Raw genomic sequence first — 19995 nt, forward strand, 5'->3', positions numbered from 1 at the left:
TAGCATCTGCCAAATTATCTGGCTCCTGCTCTGTAATATCCTTAGCCTACTTTGCTGAGGTTAGTGAGAAAAAGTTAGAGTGGCTTGTGTTCACCTAGTCCTGAAATTAATGCATTGCATTTAGAAGTGTAATGTTTTCATTTGCTTAGACCTAATGTTTTCATTTGTGGCACCACCCATCTTATCTTGATAGGAGGTTAAATCTCATGAAAAATGTTTGATGTTCTATACTAACCTTTTTTTCCCCCCTTTTAACATTCTCTCTTGGGAATGAACTCATGTGCAATGATGAATAAGCCATCCTTGTGTATTTGGATAGTTTTTTCGTAGCCCAAGGTTAGTTTCCAGTTATTCAGTTCTGTTTATTAATTTGCTTGATATTTTCCTCTATGAACCAATCTTACCATTCCTCAGTTCATTTCATTAGCTCTTCTGTGTGTTCCTGTTCATGTGTACGTCCAATTAGCATTTCCTGATGCAGTATTCCAATTAACATAGTTATCAGGATTATACAGAGACAGAAAATACCTGGATGCTGACATGAGCTTTTTTCATTATTTTGTTGGATCAGTCTGTGGAGTAATGCTTTTCCAACCATTTTGGTATGATTACTTTCCAGGTTTCCTTATTTAATTGATAAGCCTTCAAATGGGTTTTTAATTTTTAATTAACTATTTACTTATTTTTCGAGACAGGGTCTCTGTCACCCAGGCTAGAGTGCAGTGACATGATCATGGCTCACTGCAGCCTCAACCTCCAGGGCTCAAACGATTCTCCTGCCTCAGCCTCCTGAGTAGCTGAGACTATAGGCCAGCACCACCACACTCAATTTTTAAAAAAATTTTTTGTAGACACTGGGCCTCACAATGTAGACACTGTGCCCAGGTTGGTCTCACATTTTTGGGCTTGAGTGAGCCTCCCACCTCCATCTCCTAAAGTGCCAGGATTATAGGGATGGAGCCATCATACCTGGCCCAAATAGTTTTTTTAGTGTTGACTGGATGTATTCATTTAAGTGAGGCTTAAACATAGAGTTTATCTTACTGTTTAATTAATGGTTTCTCCTCACTCCCTGGCAACTACTTATAACGTGAAAAATATGACTAAGATATTTTCCAAAATTAATATTTGAAAATGTGTTGTTAAGCTGATAGACTGCATTTTGAGTATGGAAGATAAGTTCACACCTTCTTGATTAAAAACAAGAACTGTAATGTAACTCCTGCCTCCCTTTTTAGAAATGACAGTCTTCTCTCAGTACAGAAATGATTGGCCAGTAAGAGTCTTATGAAATGAATCTGTTAGCCAGTTGCCGCATGTCACAAGTCTGAATTCAGGCCTTTCTTGTAGTTAGTTCCGGGGTTAGATTGGATTGTTTTAACACAACTTCTTCAAAAGATAGATAAAACACTTTCCATGTAGTACAATTTGGTATTTGTTGAGAGCCTAGTCCTCACTAGGGAATGTGCCAAGGGCATGTTCCTCTTAAATTCCAACCAGTTCCACCCTTGCGGGCAGATTTATTCCAGAGAGGATAAAGGACAGTGTCAGGGAAGAGTTTTATCATTTTAGCTAATTCCTTTAATGGAAGTCATCTTTCAGAATGTAAGTGCAATGTTTTCTTTTCAAATTATAGTTAAGAGTTCATGATGATTGTTGAGACTAGCAATTCCTTAAAAATCTCCTGTGCCCTGGAAATTCAAACCACAAATCAAATGTATCTCATGTTTTCTCAGGCATATTCTTTTCCAACAAGTGATCTCTAGGTTCAGTCCTTCACTCATTCAGCACATGTCTTCTGAGTCACCACGAAAGCCTGGCTCCAAGTGAGGGAAACAAGGTGGACTTGGTGTGCTTGTGTCCTTGGTCACAATGCTTACAGTCTCATATGGGAAACAAAACAAATATACAAGTTAGATTACAGAATAAGGAATGCCTAAGAATGTGTTCTAGCCCATAGAGCCAGACAGAATCATGTTCCATTCCTGCCTCTGTCCCTTCCTTCTACACTTGGACAAGTTACTTGATATGTATACATTTCCATTTCTTCATTATAAAGGGAAATAATTAAACCTATCATAGAATTGTTGTGAAGATTAAAATGAGATAATGTACATGAAGTGCTTAGTGCAGTGCCTGGCACATAAAAAGTGCTCAGTAAAAGTCAACCATTATTGTCATTTGGATGATTGGTTTAGCCAGTGAACTCTATAGGAGAAGGGAGCAAGCATTTAGGATTGGAGTTGTTATAGAAGGCTCTCTGGAAGGAAGTGAGCAAGACTTTAGAGAGGCAGAGAAGATGGGGAAGGTCACTAGGAAAGCCAGGGGCAGAAAGAAGCATTTAAAAAATCTGGGAGTGGCATCAGGCACAGTGGCTCACACCTGTAATGCCAGCACTTTGGGAGGCCGAGGCGGACGGATCACCTGAGGTCAGGAGTTCGAGACCAGCCTGACCAATATGATGAAACCCCATCTTTACTAAAAATACAAAAATTAGCCAGATGCGGTAGCATGCGCCTGTAATCCCAGCTACTTGGGAGGCTGAGACAGGAGAATCGCTTGAATCCGGGAGGCAGAGGTTGCAATGAGCCGAGATCACGCCATTGCACTCCAGCCAGGGCAACAAGAGCAAAACTCTGTCTCAAAAATCAAATAAAATCTGGGAGTGGAATGTTGATGATACATGAGACACAGTAAAAGCAGAGGTGGCTTTTAGAACACTAGTTTTCATCTGAATTATCCATCTAGATACTTTTGTGTGATGGGTATATTGGACACAGTCAAGACTCCCAGTTGAAGGCAGTGTTTCCTTGGGTAAGTCAGTTAACCAATTTTGAGTCTTCAGAGTTTGAGCAAAATAGGTTTATCACAAGAGTTTAAGATCATACAGTATGTGCAAAATTTGCAGTATTACACCTGGCACATAACTACTCATTAAAAGGCAGTGACTTCTGTGTTATTTATGCATTTATATATATTATCAAATACTTAACTCTGTGTCATGCCTGAGTTGGAAACCAGAGATTGAGTGATGAAAAAGATGATACAGTTCCAGCCCTCATAGAGCTGACAATCTAGTGGAAGAGATGAATAATTAAACAATGACAAAAGTGGGATATGGGATAAAAGAGAGCAAGCCAGCTGGTAAAGAGTATCAAGGCATAGGCCGGGCCCGGTGGCTCACGCCTGTAATCCCAGCACTTTGGGAGGCCAAGGCGGGCGGATCATGAGGTCAGGAGATCGAGACCATCCTGGCTAACACGGTGAAACCCTGTCTCTACTAAAAATACAAAAAATTAGCTGGGCGTGGTAGCAGGCGCCTGTAGTCCCAGCTACTCGGGAGGCTGAGGCAGGAGAATGGTGTGAACCCGGGAGGCGGAGCTTGCAGTGAGCCGAGATCACGCCACTGCACTCCAGCCTGGGTGACAGAGCGAGACTCCATCTCAAAAAAAAAAAAAAAAAAAGAGTATCAAGGCATATATAGGGACTCCATCCTAGGCAGGAAGAGCCTGGTCAAGCTTTGCAGAGAAAGCGAAGTCTAGTTAAGGGTTTCATGTCAACTTGGGGTTGAGATAGTCATTGCATGAATTTTTTAAAATTTAATTCTCTGTGTTGTAAAAAATTAAATTGGAATCTCTTGATACTGATTCACACTTTTTTTTTTTTAACTCAGAGCATCAATATTTTTATGCAGTGATAAAACAGGTAATTTGCATGTTAGAATTAGTAATGAAAGTTTACCAGAAAGTTTTACATAAATAAGGACATTTATTCATGTTTGAACAAGATTATTACTAATCTAAGTTATTAGCAATTGAGAACTGTTTAACTCTCTAGTTAAATAGGTTTCTTATTTAAATCTAACTCCTGGAGGGAGGTATTCACAAAGTAACACCATTCTGCTTTGAATTTGACTGTAACCTACAACAAGGGTCCTGACACAAATGCACTAAGACTTCTCTGTCTGGTGACCAGAGAATACAGTTTCAATTCCCTTGAAATACAGTTAAATCCCACTCCTGAAATAATCTGGAAAAAGGATACTGTAACTCCTCATATACCCAGGAGGTTGCCTTGGAAAAATTTAACAAATCATAGCATTTACACTTAAGAAATTAGGTACAGTTCCTGAAACAACAAATTTCATTTGGGTTTGTCCCACTCGTGAATGCACTTAACTGTATAAAGGTAGTCTATAGAAGTCAGGTCCAAAAAAATTAGGAAGAGGTTTTATTATTTTGAGAACATTCTAAAAACAAGTGGCTGATTAAAACTTTTTTTTATCTAAACATTTTAGGAAGATGATACTGTTTTCCCAAGTTAATACTTTGATTCTTAATTTTCTTCCTTATTTTTTCCCTCAATCTCCCGTAAGTTTTTTTCTCCCCATGTTCTCCTTGAAGTTAAAGTACTCCCAAAGATTTTAACTCCTTTCTTGCAGTCTTTTTTATTTTTATTTTCTTGAAAATAAGGTGAATATTTTATTCTCTTAACACAGTACGATTTACAGTGGAAGATACTGATAATTGTTGAAATATTTTCAGGTCTATTTTATTCCATAAATACATTTCATCTTCTTGATTGAAACACTTAAGGTGTTTATGACCAATATTTCTAATTTGGACAATAGTTCGGAAATTGTTTCGACAGGGTTGCCAGCTCTGAGGTGGATGCTCAGGACACCAAGAAATCAAAATGGTACCAGTAGAAGTGCAAGAATAACATGACCTCTTTTAGGTCATCTGTTTAGAGGAAGTCTATGAAAATGGACTCTGGAGAAGTAAAGAAACAAAAGAATGGGTACTCCATAGGCAGGGCAGCCCCAAGAGCTACTAGTTGGCTATTTTTCTAGTTATTAATTGATCATATGCTAAACAAGGGATGGCTTATTCATGAACTTTCTGGGGAAAGGGGTGGGCCATTCTCGGCCTTGAGGGTTCCTCCCCTTTTTAGACTATATAGGGATGGCTTATTCATGAACTTTCTGGGGAAAGGGGTGGGCCATTCTCAGCCTTGAGGGTTCCTCCCCTTTTTAGACTATATAAGGATGGCATCTTTCAGACATTGCCATGGCATTTGAAGGCTGTCATGGCACTAGTGGGAGTGGCTCTTAGCATGCTAATGCATTACAATTAGTGTATAATGAGCAGTAAAGATAACTGGAGGTCACTTTTGTGACCATCTTGGTTTTGGTGAGTTTTGGCCAGCTTCTTTACCGAATGCTGTTTATCAGCAGGGTCTTTATGACCTGTATCTTGTGATATCGGACCTGTGACCTCCAGTCTCATCGTGTGACTAAGAATGCCTAACCTCCTGGGAATGCAGCCCAGCAGGTCTTAGCCTCATTTTACCCAGCTCCTGTTCAAGATGGAGTTGCTGTGGTTCAAAGGCCTCTGACAACACTAGGACTAGGGGAGCTCTCACTCTCTTTCACTCTTTAAGGAAAAGAAATGTAGAAAGTGTATGCAAATCTTTTTCTATCCATTTAACACACACTTGAAATACTTGTAGGTTTGCTATAAGATGGCTGAGGGGATATAATTTTGGGCATAAAACTTCTGAAGTAAGTTTTAGAGCTAAAATGTTGAGCATTTTTGACTTTGTGGAATTTAAATTGTTAGTATCTTGTTCAAGTAGTTATTTTGCTAAAAATATGCACTGCCTAATCCAAGCTTAAAAAAGAAAAGATTTACATTTGTATGTCACTGAATGTAGGGTACAGTTTTAATCTGATTACGAAGTTGACTTTGGTATATGTTTTAGTAGTGATGATGTGGAACTAATTACATAGCAGCTTTTTACTGTTTTGCATTTCAAAGTCCTAGGTACAAAGATTCCTGGCTATTAGTAATTTCATTTACTGATATGTCAGTAATAGAATATTGTTTCGTTTTCATTTAATATACCTCTGAAACCTACTTTTTTTTTTTTTTTTTTTTGAGATAGAATCTCGTTCTGTCATCCAGGCTGGAGTGCAGTGGCGCAATCTTGGCTCACTGAAACCTCCACCTCCCAGGTTCAAGCGATTCTCCTGTCTCAGCCTCCCCAGAAGCTGGGACTACAGGCGCACGGCACCACGCCTGGCTAATTTTTGTATTTTTAGTAGAGATGGGGTTTCACCACGTTGCCCGGCTGGTCTTGAACTCCTGACCTCAAGTGATTCACCTACCTCAGCCTCCCAGAGTGCTGGGATTAGGGGTGTGAGCCACTGCCCCCAGCCTGAAACCTACTTTTAAAAAAGTGTCAGGGGAGGAAAAAAAAGCTTGATACTGTAGTTTAATAATAATGTTGATAAATATGTTTTTCCTCTTCTTGATAACTCATTTTTACTTTCTTGGATTTGACTTATTTTGTTTCTCTTTAATATCTGACATATAAAAACAAAGTTCACCCCTTATTTTTATGCTACCTTTGCATTGTAATAGATAAATACAGAGTTATAAGTTATGGGAAATTTTCAATGCCATTTTCTTAATTGTTGTGGTCTTTTGTTTGTGTAGCTTGCACCTTCTCTTCCTTTACAAGAAGATTTTGTTTATCACTGGAAGGCAATTACCCATTACTACATAGAGACTTCAGGTAAGGAACAATGCTGATATTAACTGAAAATTTGTGAAAGTTAAACAGAAAATTTGTGAAATACTAAAATATTTTTAAGTAAGTCTCCAAAGTTATTTTATATTTAAGTTTATAGACAATCTTATCTTTGTCTTTAAGATTCAGTCACTCATTTAAAAATATACCTGTTGAGCACCTACTACTGTGTGTCAGGCATTGTTGAGGCACTGGGGGATAGAACAGTCAGTCAAACAGACAACACTGCTGTCCTCACAGAGTTTATGTATTGATTGGGAGGAGGCAGACAGTATATAGACAAATATGTATAGTGTGTCAGATGATAAGCGTCAAGGGAAAATGAAGCAGGCTAAAGAGTACGTTGGGGTGGTGGGAGTGGACAGTTGGCTATTTTAGGTTAGAGAAAACCTCATTGCCCAATATGACTTGTGAGCTGAAATCTAAAGGATAAAGGAACCAAGCCTGCTAGATATCTGGGGGAAGGATGTCTCGGGAATGAGACCTAATTCACAAACCCTCAGGCCAGAGCATGTGGCACGCTTGGCACATCCCAGGAACTTTAAGGAAGCCAGTGTGGATAGAGCTTGAACATTCATTCTTTCTTGGAGCGTTTGTGTATATAAAGGCTACAATTATGGGGAAAACACATTTTTAAAAAGTAAATTACAAGTAAGCTTACAAATCGTCTTTTACTAGTGCTAGGCTACTCATTTTAGAATATGAAATGAGACATAACATTTCTTGAATTCTTTGTGCTAAGGACTGAGCTTTATTATTTCATTGAATTCATATAACAGTACTCACTAGTGTTTATTAGTTCCATTTTATAGTTGTTGGTGACTGATGCTTACATAGTTTGCACCAGTTCATCCAGCTGAAAGTGACAGAGCCAAGATTTGAATCCAAGTTGTCTAACTCCAGGGCCCATGCTTTTAACAACTGTCCCATACCATATCAAACTTGATACATATGTCCTCCTGAAAACAAAGGTGACCCTTCTCTATCCATTGTTTTCTCCATAAGGCTTAGTGTTATGGTTTTCTGTGTTAGTATACATACAGACAAAGCAGCATATCAGTACATAGCATACCAGAATTGTGTTGTTCAAACTATAGAAGTACAAAGTAAATGAAAATAGAGACATAAGTAAAGAATTTGGCACTTCCTAATGTATTTTGTATTTAAATGTTCTATAAAACTTCACATTTTTAAGAGTAATTTAACCTTAGTATAATAAGGATGGGTTGATAAAACCATGGGATGTTTGAGTCTAACTGTGATATGTTAAAAAATATCACTAAATTTTTATTTTATTATAAGAAATCAATAATATTTAATAAAAATTCTCCTGAGAAGCAACTTTGAAAAACAGATTTTGGAAAACAGCTATACGTTAATGAGAGATGTCAGTAATTTTAATAGAGGGTTTTCCTTTTGGCTTCTCATTGTAATAGAAGAAAATGAATTAAGGACATTAAGTGACAGATTTCCCAATCCTACAAAGTAACGTAGTAGCAATCCAAAACAGAATCTGTCCTCTTCATATATCCCAGGTTATTTGCCTTCATGTTCAAGGCCAACCTATTTCTATTTAAAGAGACTTAAAGTTCAGATCTTCTGAACTGGCTAAGTGAAAAAAAAATATTTTAATTATAAATACACATAGAACATTTTTGATGTGACATGTATTTTTCCTGGTCATGTTCCCATTTCCCACATAAATAGCTCTTATTTCTGAATTACTGTGGATAGATGAATGTTAGCTTATGGAATATATTTGAGATTTTTTTTTTTTTTTTTTTGAGATGGTGTCCCTCTCTGTCGCCCAGGCTGACGTTCAGTGGTGCGATCTCTGCTCACTGCAGCCTCCACCTCCCAGGTTCAAGAGATTCTCCTGCCTCAGCCTCCTGAGTGGCTGGAATCACAGGCGCCTGCCACCACACACGGCTAATTTTTTTGTATTTTTAGTAGAGAGGAGGTTTCACTGTGTTGAACAGGCTGGTCTTGGATTCCTGACCTCAGGTGATCCACCTGCCTCGGCCTCCCAAAGTGCTGGAATTACAGGTGTGAGCCACCGTGCCTAGCCATATTTCAGAATATTGATTCAGTTTTAGGGTAAGAATATGACAAAATGCATCATCTAAATTCTAGCAGAGATAATCATACTGTGTTTATAAACCTCACTTAAGTGTGTAGTTCAGATTTTTCTCAGTTTGAATAGGAAAAGGGAAATACAGAGTATTTTAGGTGCAAATATGCAGTTTAAAAATGTTTAAATATTTGATGAATGTTTTTTATTGTTTAGATGATAAAGCCCCAGTGACCGATACAAATATTCCATCGCATCTGGAACAGATGTTAGATATACTGGTTCAAGAAGAAAATGAACGGGAATCTGGAGAGACAGGGCCATGTATGGAATATTTGCTTCATCACAAGATCTTGGAAACATTATATACCTTGGGGAAAGCTGATGTAAGTTCCTGATCCACACCATGTTCTTGGGCATTAGTACATGCATTAATGTCTTACGAATAAAGAAGCTGCCAAATACTTGATTATAAAGGTACATATTGAACATGGCAGGATTCAAGTTAAGATTGTAGAAAAAAGAAAATTGTGTAGCCTATACAAATATGTCCATAGAGATAGAAAGATTCCAAACACTCTAGACAACAACTTGTACTTGGCTGCTTAGAATTCCAATGTAAACATTTATGAAAATAAACTCAAGTACGTGAGCTCAGAATAAAAAAAAGAGATAGAAGGAAGTCAGTTAAAATAGGATTGAAAAATAGGAATTATTTGTCATAGTCCTGGAAGAGAATGTCACTGATGATTTTGACACTAACTAAACTGTTAAGTGGAGCCAATTTATATTTTTTAGGCCTGATGAATTTTGAAAAATCTTTACAAAGCTGAAATTGTGATATCAATAATATTTTATATTCCAAAACCTTCAAATTACTTATAGAGACAAGTTTTCCAGCCGTGTGGCCGAGTAAGGGAACGGGAGAGCCTTGGGTTCAGATTAGGGGGCCAGGCTTCCAGTCCTGACATCATTATTCACACACTGTGACCATTGTAAGTCTCTTTGGTTAATCTTCCTCCTCTTTAAAATCCAGGAAGTGTTTGCTAAGGGGCCTCCCCAGCCCTAAAAGTCTATATAGTTCTGTGAATTTCTATGATATATGTGAAAAAAATTAGGCTAAAACAAAAGAAACCTGTAGACACATTTTTATGACAGAGAGATATGAATAGTAGCATGCAAGATGATTTCCTTTTGTCTGTCTGTAATACTCTAATTTACTTTTAAGTTAAATTCACTCAATTTATGTTTTTTAGGCAACACACCTGCTCTCTAATATTCTGCAACTCATTCTCCTCCTCCTTTTTCCTGTCCTTTGGAGAGAAGGATTGTTAATAATAAATTGATTAATTGATTTTTGAGCAGAAGTTAGTAATTGTACGTCTAGTAAATTTATTTTAATACAGGTGATTGTAAATATAATTTAGTGGTTTATCTAAATAATGTAAAGTATTTGCTAGCTTAAAAATATTGTGCATAAGATTATAGTTTATACTATTTCCAGATAACATGTCTATGATGATGCTTTGGAAATACTTATTTTGTAACTGTATTTGAAATGTGAAGCAGTATAAGCAGCTTAATTAAGGAAGTTAACCTTGTTAATTCATACTCTCTTAATCTGCAGTGTGAGTGATCATTGGGTTTACCTACTTTTCAGCAAATACTTAAAACAACTGGCATGTTACAAAAACTAATTTATTAAACATTCTTTGCCTATTATAATCATAATGTAAATAATTTGATTTATATTATGATTATAATAGGCAAAGAATATTTACAGTTGACCCTTGAACAACATGGGTTTGAACTGTGTAGGTCCACATATAGGCAGAATTTTTGCAACCAAACATGGATGAAAAATATAGTATTTCCAGGATGCAAAACCTGTCTATGCAAAGGGCTGAATTTTCACATATGTGGGTTCCACAGGGCTGACTACCAGAACTGAGTGAGTGCAGATTTGGGTATAATCGTGTATACCGAGGCACAGCTCTAATTTAAAATGATGTTAGGATAAAATCACAACAGTTTACACCATAGGTTTCCTTTTATTTACATGTGTGTTAGGAGGCTTTATTTACTCCTACATATATATGATGGAAAGTTGATGACATGTCTGTCATTAGTGTAAGTAACAAGATTTTGCCTTTGTTCCAGCGGGGTGTTAACTATTACAGTTTCATGTTACCCCAGCATTTAGAATATAAACAGGTTGACATTGACTGCACCAAGCTCTAATCTCAACAACATATTATTACCGTGCTGTTTGTAACTACATGAGCCTGTGGTCTCACATGCTGTGTTATGGTCTCAGATATACAATATTATTTCTAGAATACCTGTCATTAATATTTGATTGAAAATTTTATTCTGACAGTTATTAACTGGCCAGTTGCATTGTCTTTTCAAGGTGGAATACATTCATATACATTGTCTCTCCAATTTTTTAAGCTTTTCAGTAAATGTGTTTGCATTGTCTGTTGTTTTCCTGTTGGCTTCCTTTTTTCCTATACCCAGTGTCCTCCGGGAATGAAACAGCAGGTTTTGGTTTTCTATACGAAACTTCTGGGAAGAATCCGGCAGCCACTACTTCCACACATTAACGTGCACAGGCCAGTGCAGGTATTTTGTTCCCCCTACATAAAATCATTTTGTTTGATTTCTTTTAATGTTGAAATAATTTTATATTATTTTTCTGAGAGTAAAAATAATGAAATTATTCCAAAATTAACATGCAAGTTAGCAAATACTTGAGCTTTCTTTATGCATCACATAGCATTAAGTGTATTTACAGTGTACTTACAGTCTTTCTGATTCTCTTTAAAATTTTATACATGAATTTTCCTTGGATTTTACTTCCATGACATCTGAAGGAGAATTTATTATATAACTCGTTAATTATTTATGGTAATGAACTTGAAAATTTTACCACTAGTAAGTTTATTTTGATATAGATAATTATAAATATCATTAGTGTTCTGATTAATGCAGGATATTTGCATTATATGAAAAATTTAAATATCCTTAAGGTAAATGAATGGTTATTTTACAAATTTGTAAAAAGTAGCCTAAGTTTAAAAAGTTAAAAACAATTGTTTTCACAGAAATTAATTAGACTCTGTGGTGAAGTCCTAGCAACACCAACAGAAAATGAAGAGATTCAGTTTCTTTGCATTGTGTGTGCGAAGCTGAAACAGGACCCCTACCTGGTTAACTTTTTCCTAGAGGTATGATACACTTTTTATCAACTTTCAAACTGTAGTTATATTAAGATCATTATGAAAATTGAATTATGTGAATAATATTAGAAGGAGCTCTGTTTTGCAGGTTATTAGCTTGTTTTACTTCCCAGAATTATTTTTCCTTTAATATCACTATTTTATTCTCCTGGGAGAAAAGAATTTCAAAGAATGCAGTTGAGCCAGATATATGAGGTGGTACAGGGACTGGACAGATACAAAGTCATGGCTTAAAAGAGGACAGCTTGAAGGTTGAATCAGAGATAGACAAGTCACAGAAGTTGATATGCTATCATATTTTCAGCCAAGCTTGCCCTAGTATGTAACATGGGAAATCTGGCCTGGGATAAGGATGGCATGTGCAGATTTGGACAAGATGGAAAAAAGCACGAGTTATCTCTCCATCCTCATAGCAGTTGGGATTGCTGTAGTATTTTGTACTGTTTTGATAGCCATAGTCACCAAATCATAGTTTATTTAAATCAAGTGATATTTTGGATTTTACTCCTAGATTTAAAGTAAAAAATATATTTTTGTACTTTTTGCCTTCATTCACTTCTTTTTTTCAGCAGTGAAGTCATTTTGGAATATTTTAGAAAAAATGATTATGTTGTTTTTGTCCTTGTTTGTAATTTATTTTTATTTTTATTTTTACTTTTTTGAGGCAGGGTCTTGCTTTGTAGCCCAGGCTGGAGTATGGGGGCGTGACCATTGGTCACTGCAGCCTTAACCTCTCTGGTTCAAGTGATCCTCTTACCTTAGCCTACCAAGTAGCTGGGACTACAGGTGTGCACCACCACACCTGGCTAATTTTTTAAGTTTTTTTGTAGAGACAGTGTCTCCCTGTGTTGTCCGGGCTGGTCTGGAACTCCTGAGCTCAAGTGATCCTCCTGCCTCGGCCTCCCAAAGTTCTGGTATTATAGGTGTGAGCCACCACACCTGGCCTTCTTTTGTTTTTTAAAAAATATTTTTCTGGCCAGGCGCGATGGCTCACACCTGTAATCCCAGCATTTTGGGAGGCTGGTGCAGGTGGATCAGTTGAGGTCAGGAGTTCGAGATCAGCCTGACCAACATCGTGAAACCCCGTCTCTGCTAAAAATACAAACCTTAGCTGGGTGTGGTAGTGCACGCCTGGAATCCCACTTATTTGAGAGGCTGAGGCAGGAGAATCCCTTGAACCCGGGAGGTGGAGGTTGCAGTGAGCCAAGATTGCAACACTGCACTCCAGCCTGGGCAACAGTGTGAGACTCCGTCTCAAATAATACAAAATACATAAATAAATTTTTCTTTTTCTTTTTTTGGATTAAGATATAAGTTACATACAATAGAATTCACTCGTTTCAGTCTGCATTCTGTGAGCTTGATGAACACAGTTGTGTTACCACCACAATCAAGATGTGCAACAGCTCTGTCACACTACCCCATGATCCTCTGTAGTCATCCCTTCTCCACCCCTACGCCCTAGCAGTCACTGATCTATTTTCCATCCCAATAGTTTTCTCTTTCCCAAAAAGTCATAGCAATGTAATTAGCCTTTTGATTCTGGCTTTTAAAATTAGCTTATTGCATTTGAGATTCATCCATGATTTTGTTCCTTTATGTTGTTGAGTACTATACCATTGTATGGATGTACCACAGTTGTTTATCCATACACCAGTGAGGGACTTCTGGGTTGTTTCTAGTTTTTTACAATTGTTAATGAAACCACTAAGAACATCACACACAGATTTTTGCGTGGATTTAGGTTTTCATGTCACTTGGATAAATACCTAGGGTAGGATCACCAGATCATATGGTAAGTGTGTATTTATTTTCATAAGAAACCGCCAAACTGTTTCCCAAGTGGCTTTGTCATTTTGCATCCCATCAACAGTGTACGTGAGCTCCTGTTGCTCCGTGTTGTCGTCAGCACTGGATGTTGTTAGGTCTTTGTTTGTTTTGTTATTTTTAAATGTTAACCACTCCAATAGATGGGTTTGTTTTCTATTTTACATTACTAAGTAAATTAGGATTCTATTCTGGACTCTTAACTCGAATTAGGTAAGCAGTTAAGCTGTAAAATTTCATGAATTTAAATTTCTAGGTGGTGGTAAGGACTACGCATGCCCTTAACACTCATCATGCGCATCGTGTGTTGTTCGTGATGTGCGTTATATTTTGTATCATCTTTTGCAAATTTGCTTCAAAAGGGCTGGAACAGTCTTATGATTTTGGATTTCTAAAGATTTATAATGATATTAGAATTTTTTTTTTAGTTGTTTGTGTACTTATGAGAAATATCTCAGTTTTGCTGAGATTTTTCTTCTCAAGGTTCATTTTTGCTAAAGCTTTCTTAGATAACCTTAGTGTACTTGGAATGCATGTATTTTTTTCCCCAAACTTAAGCCTGGAGAATTTCTTTCTCAAAAATTTCTGAAACTTGTTTTCTAAGTGCATAGCATAGATCAGAAGCAGACGAAATATGTAGGCTTATGTATGTTCATGGTGAGGTACACTGTATGTACCTGTCTTCGGAAAAACATTTACATTTAAACCTCACTACAGAGAACACCCCTCAGAATTAGTGACACATCTGCTTTGTGCAGTGTTTTTATGACATATTTCTCCAAAGCCTGAGGTGGTAGGTGTCTGCATTTTTTTAACGAATAGGACTATTCATATGTGTTTAATGTCAGTTACTACAGTCCCCCAGCACTGGTTATTTAAGTGCATTTTATTTTCTCCTGCTAGTCAGTATGTTCCTTGAGGACAAGGATTCTGTCTCATTAATCTTGGGTCCCCACAGCTTCTCTAGAATCTAGCATAATGCATAGGAACTGCTCAGTTAACACTAAATGAATGAATCTTTAGGGAGACGCAGCGTTTTGTTTTTGTTTTTCCTTTTTTTTTGAGATAGTCTGACTGTGTCACCCAGGCCGTAGTGCAGTGGTGCAATCTCGGCTCACTGCAGCCTCTGCCTCCCAGTTCAAACGATTCTCATGCTTCAGCCTCCCAAGTAGCTGGGATTACAGGTGCGCACCACCACGCCCGGCTAATTTTTGTATTTTTAGTAGAGATGGGGTTTCACCATGTTGGCCAGGCTGGTCTCAAACTCCCAACCTCAGGTGATCCACCCACCTCAGCCTCCCAAAGTGCCAGGATTATAGGCATTAGCCACCATGGCCAGCCAGAAATGCAGTTTTATTACTTATAAGTATAGATAAGAACAAAAGTGCTTTGCAGTTCTCAAGCATGTATTCCCTGAAATGTCATCTTTCTCTATTCATTACTGTCAGCCAATATTTGCATCTACTATTGGTTAAATATATATGGTAGATGAGTTAGAAACAGTCTTTGCCGGCCGGGCGCGGTGGCTCATGCCTGTAATCCCAGCACTTTGGTAGGCTGAGGCGGGCAGATCATAAGGTCAGGAGATCAATCAAGATCATCCTGGCTAACACAGTGAAACCCCTTCTCTACTAAAAATACAAAAAATCAGTCGGGCTTGGTGGCCCATGCCTATAGTCCCAGCTACTCAGGAGGCTGAGGCAGGAGAATTGCTTGAACCCAGGAGGCAGAGGTAGCAGTAAGCCAAGATCACGCCACTGCACTTCAGCCTGGGCGACAGAGCGAGACTCTGTCTCAAAAAAAAAAAAAAAAAAAAGAAAAGAAACAGTCTTTGTCCTAAAGGAGTTTACAGTCTGGTGAAGACAGTAAATGAATGTTCAGATACTGTAATCTAAAGTAGAGTAAGGTGAGAATCAAAGGAAAGATACAAAGTAAATTCCTTAAGTACTTACAGGATGGAGAGATTCATCAGCTCTAGGTCATCAAGAAAGTCTTCCTGGAAGAGGTCATCTTTGAAATGAGGCTGGGCGCGGTGATTCACACCTGTAATCCTAGCACTTTGGGAGGCTGAGGCAAGCAGATTGCTTGAGCCCAGGAGTTCGAGATCAGCCTGAGCAACATAGCAAGACCTCATCTCTATAAAAAATAAATAAATACAGACAAATGAGCCTTGACATGTTTAGAGTGGGTGAACATAAGGAATGAAGATGTAAAAGTTTGTGGTGTGTTCAGGAAACAGTATAATTAAGATGTGTGGCAAGAAGCACCTGAACAGATAGACTAAGTATTGTCAAAGGCTTTGAATGACAAGGTGAAGAGTTTATTCTTACTTGTAGATACTGGGGAGCCATTAACTATTTTTGAGCAGGGATGTTATTATGTGATGGTATCTGTGCCTTAAGTTAAATTGGCAGCAGCCTTTTATATGGCAGATTCTTTGAGAGGAGAGATAAAATCAGGGAAACTAATTTGGAAACTGATGGAGTAACCCAGGCAAGAAGTAACAAGGACTACGACCAAGTTGGAAGCAGTGGGTTGGAATGAAATGCGTAACTTCAGACTAGAGGTAGGCTCTATATGGCCTTGTAACTGCTCAGATGCAGAAGCTGGGAAAGGATGATTTGAATGCTGGAATTCCTGAACCAATAAGGCTGCTGCTAGTAGAAAAACAGGGGCCCCAAGGGAGCTGATTTTGAGGGGAAGATGATAATTTTGGTTCCGGATGCTTTGAGTCATCATGATTTCCTGATGGAGATAATTAGCAGGTATTCGGTATTGCAAATCTTTGATTTGGGAGGGAAGTTTAAGTTTAAGAGATTTAGAAGCTATGTGTGTGACTATGTTGTGGGTACTGATGAGATCCCTAAAACAGAAGGGGAACAGTTTTAGTAGGAACCAAAGTGTTAAAGCCACAGTTCCTCATCACCTAGGAAATTTTTCTAAAATGCACATTCCTTGGCTCCACCTCCAGATATTCAACAGGTCCGGATGGGACCCAGGAATCTGCATTTTTATCAAGCCCCACAGAAGACCAGGATACCAACAATCTTGAGTCTTACTTTGAGAAACATTGATTGAAGGACAGAGTGCTATACTAACATCCTTCCTCTTGCTGTTCTTATTTGAGACGCCTCTCCCAACAATATTACTAGTATTTTAAATTGAATGAAATGTTTTACTTTCATAAAGAGTATGATATGCCATTGGTTTTTTTTTTTTTTTTTTGAGGTGGAGTCTTGCTCTGTTGCCCAGGCTGGAGTGCAGTGGCATGATCTCGGCTCACTGCAACCTCTGCCTCCCAGATTCAAGTGATTATTCTGCCTCAGCCTCCCTGGTAGCTGGGATTGCAGGCACATGCCACCACGCCCAGCTAATTTTTGTATTTTTAGTAGAGACAGGGTTTACCATGTTGGCCAGGCTGGTCTCGAACTCCTGACCTCAAGTGATCCGCCTGCCTCAGCCTCTCAAAGTGCTGGGATGTGAGCCACTGCACCCGGCCAATATGCCATTGATTTTGTTGGAAATTGGCAAATTGTTTGGAGTATTCATTGAGTCCCATAGAGTTGTTTGCTTTTAATAAATATGTTCTGTGAACTCAATTTCTCAAGAAGATTGGTCTAACCTATACTTTTAACAGCAATAAAAGTGATTTATAATTAGTATAATATAACTTTGGAAGTAGAACCCTGAATTCATTCAGCCTTTAATATGTTTCTATGATGATAGGCCCTGGGAGAAGTTAGTTTATGGTGAATTTTAACCTACTTGTGTAATCTGATTTCTGCTCTTATGTTCAAATGGAAAGCAAGATACTTTTGCCTTGAAGCTAACAATTTGCTAATTTGCTTCAGTTAAGAGTCTTTTTGTGTTTTGGTATGTGGATTGGGGGAGGGAGCACCAGCATTTCAAGCAAATCTTATTTCTATCCTAAAGACACTGGTAAAAATGTCCCCTGAGTAGTTTCTTGGGTTCTCTTTTTTTAAATTTTTTTGAGACAGGGTCTTGCTCTGTGCCCAGGCTGGAGTGCAGTGGCATGATCACAGCTCACCACAGCTTCAACCTCCCAGGCTCAAGCAATATTCCTGCCTCACTCAGCCTCCCAAGGCCTAGGACCATAGGTGCAAGCCACCACACCCAGCTTATTTTATTTTATTTTTTTAGTAGAGACATGATCTCACTATGTTGCCCCATCTAGTCTCGAATTCCTGGGCTCAAGTGATCCTCCTGCCCCGGCCTCCCAAAGTGCTGGTATTACAGGCATGGGTCACTGTGCCCAGCTTCTTGCGTTCTTATAGAGTAGAGGTTTAAGGAAAAACTTAGAAAAGATGCTTATATATTTGAGAGAATTTGGGGGCTTTTGTGGAAACCTTCAGTCTAATGCTGGTAACTTTTGAACTTTAAAATATTTTTATTTGTAAGTTTGTACTTCCTTCCCTGCAAACCACCCCCCCCACCCTATGATCTTATAAGAATTAACATTGAGACTATGTAGTTACAGTAGTCCAGTGATGAGAAAAAAGTTAACTGCAATTGAAACCTCCTGAAACTTTTTTCCTCACTAACATTAGTTGTTTTAAGCAGTAGTCAAATTATCAGTAATACTGTTCATTGCTTATGGTCAGTGTAAAACATTTTGTAGTTAGTATGAGGAGTGTGATAAACTCCTATGCAATGGTAAAATCATTCTAAAACACAGTTTGTTAAAAGTCAGAATATTTTCATGTGACATAACATCTATTGCTACTTTGGCTAGGCATGTGGAATGTTATAGAAAAATCCATTAAAATATTATTTTTGGCTTAAAAAGTTATTGATGTGAATTTTATAAAACATATATTCCTTTTCAGAATAAGATGAAATCATTGGCTTCCAAAGGAGTACCAAATGTAATTTCAGAAGATACATTAAAAGGTCAGGATTCCTTGTCAACAGATACAGGACAGTCCCGTCAACCAGAGGAACTATCTGGTGCTACTGGAATGGAGCAAACAGAATTGGAAGATGAGCCTCCTCATCAGATGGATCACCTGTCCACAAGCTTGGATAACCTCAGTGTCACCTCACTGCCAGAGGCCTCGGTTGTTTGTCCAAATCAGGATTACAATTTAGTGAATTCTTTGTTAAATCTTACTAGAAGTCCTGTGAGTTATGGTCCTTACTTTTTCCCCCCTAACATTATTTCAATAATGTGTATTTATTTATTTTTTTAATTTTAATTTTTAATTTATTTTTTTTTTTGAGATGGAGTCTTGCTGTGTTGTCCAGGCTGGAGTACAGTGGTGCGATCTTGGCTCACTGCAACCTCCGCCTCTGGGTTCAAGCGATTCTCCTGCCTCAGCCTCCCTAGTAGCTGGGATTACAGGTGCACGCCACCACGCCAGCTAATTTTTGTATTTTTAGTAGAGATGGGGTTTCACCATGTTGACCAGGCTGGTCTCAAACTCCTGACCTCAGCTGATCCACCCGCCTTGGCCTCCCAAAATGCTGGGATTACAGGTGTGAAGCTCCACAGTTGGCCAATAATATGCATTTAAAATAGACAAAAATCTATTTTTCTTTTAGTGTGAAACATTAAATCCTTTTATGTTGAATGTTTTCAAACAACCTGATGTATATACAATTCAAGAATTGAAGGGGGATTTTTTTTTCCTTTAGGATGGCAGAATAGCTGTGAAGGCATGTGAAGGCTTGATGCTGTTAGTAAGTTTGCCAGAGCCTGCGGCTGCAAAGTGCCTTACACAGAGCACTTGCTTGTGTGAACTACTGACAGACAGACTTGCCTCCCTGTACAAGGCCCTACCTCAGTCAGTGGATCCGTTAGATATTGAAACCGTGGAAGCAATTAACTGGGGGTAAGCACCGTTACTTGTATTTTCCCATAAAGGTGACTTCTTAACACCTACATTTTAAAATCCATTTCTATTTTGCAATGGTAGAAGTCTTTGAAAAATTGAACACCACTAGTGATCATTAAATGGGAATATTTTCTTGAAGCTTGTATTAATCAGTGGTAATGAATTGGTGTGGGAACAATCCAGCTGTTACATAGTTAAGATATTTTTATTTTGTCCATTTTACTGATCAATTTTTAAGGGCTTACATTAAAATCAATAATTTTAACTGATTATTAAAAACAAAAAACCCTCAAAGAAGGAATCTCCTTTTAAAATAATTTCCACAGCCTCTAGAGCAGTCTAATCTGTCTCCTGGCCTGTTTGTACAGAATCTCTTCTACCTCATTCTTTCACCTCTTCTTCCTAC

At 38.0% G+C, this 19995-nt stretch overlaps 1 protein-coding gene across 2 annotated transcripts in view, besides 1 other annotated feature; it reads left to right on the forward strand.

Moving 5' to 3' along the window:
• The window catches only part of FHIP2A (FHF complex subunit HOOK interacting protein 2A), a 78053-nt gene that overhangs the window by 2572 nt on the left and 55486 nt on the right, over nt 1-19995 (forward strand). For both annotated transcript variants that reach the window (NM_001135051.2, NM_020940.4), the window contains exons 2-7: nt 6501-6579; nt 8882-9051; nt 11186-11290; nt 11773-11895; nt 18582-18875; nt 19390-19586. In NM_001135051.2, coding sequence (NP_001128523.1) covers nt 6501-6579; nt 8882-9051; nt 11186-11290; nt 11773-11895; nt 18582-18875; nt 19390-19586 — 968 coding nt within the window. The remainder of the gene's footprint in view (nt 1-6500; nt 6580-8881; nt 9052-11185; nt 11291-11772; nt 11896-18581; nt 18876-19389; nt 19587-19995) is intronic.
• Nucleotides 5898-6007: an enhancer, noted in NCBI's record as "active region_4092". NCBI's record gives its function as "activates an Ori minimal core promoter by ATAC-STARR-seq in GM12878 lymphoblastoid cells {active_cell/tissue: GM12878}" and the evidence as "EXISTENCE:reporter gene assay evidence [ECO:0000049][PMID:35858748]".

The sequence above is a fragment of the Homo sapiens genome, chromosome 10 (genome assembly GCF_000001405.40).
Source record: "Homo sapiens chromosome 10, GRCh38.p14 Primary Assembly".
Taxonomy (NCBI): Eukaryota; Metazoa; Chordata; class Mammalia; order Primates; family Hominidae; genus Homo; species Homo sapiens.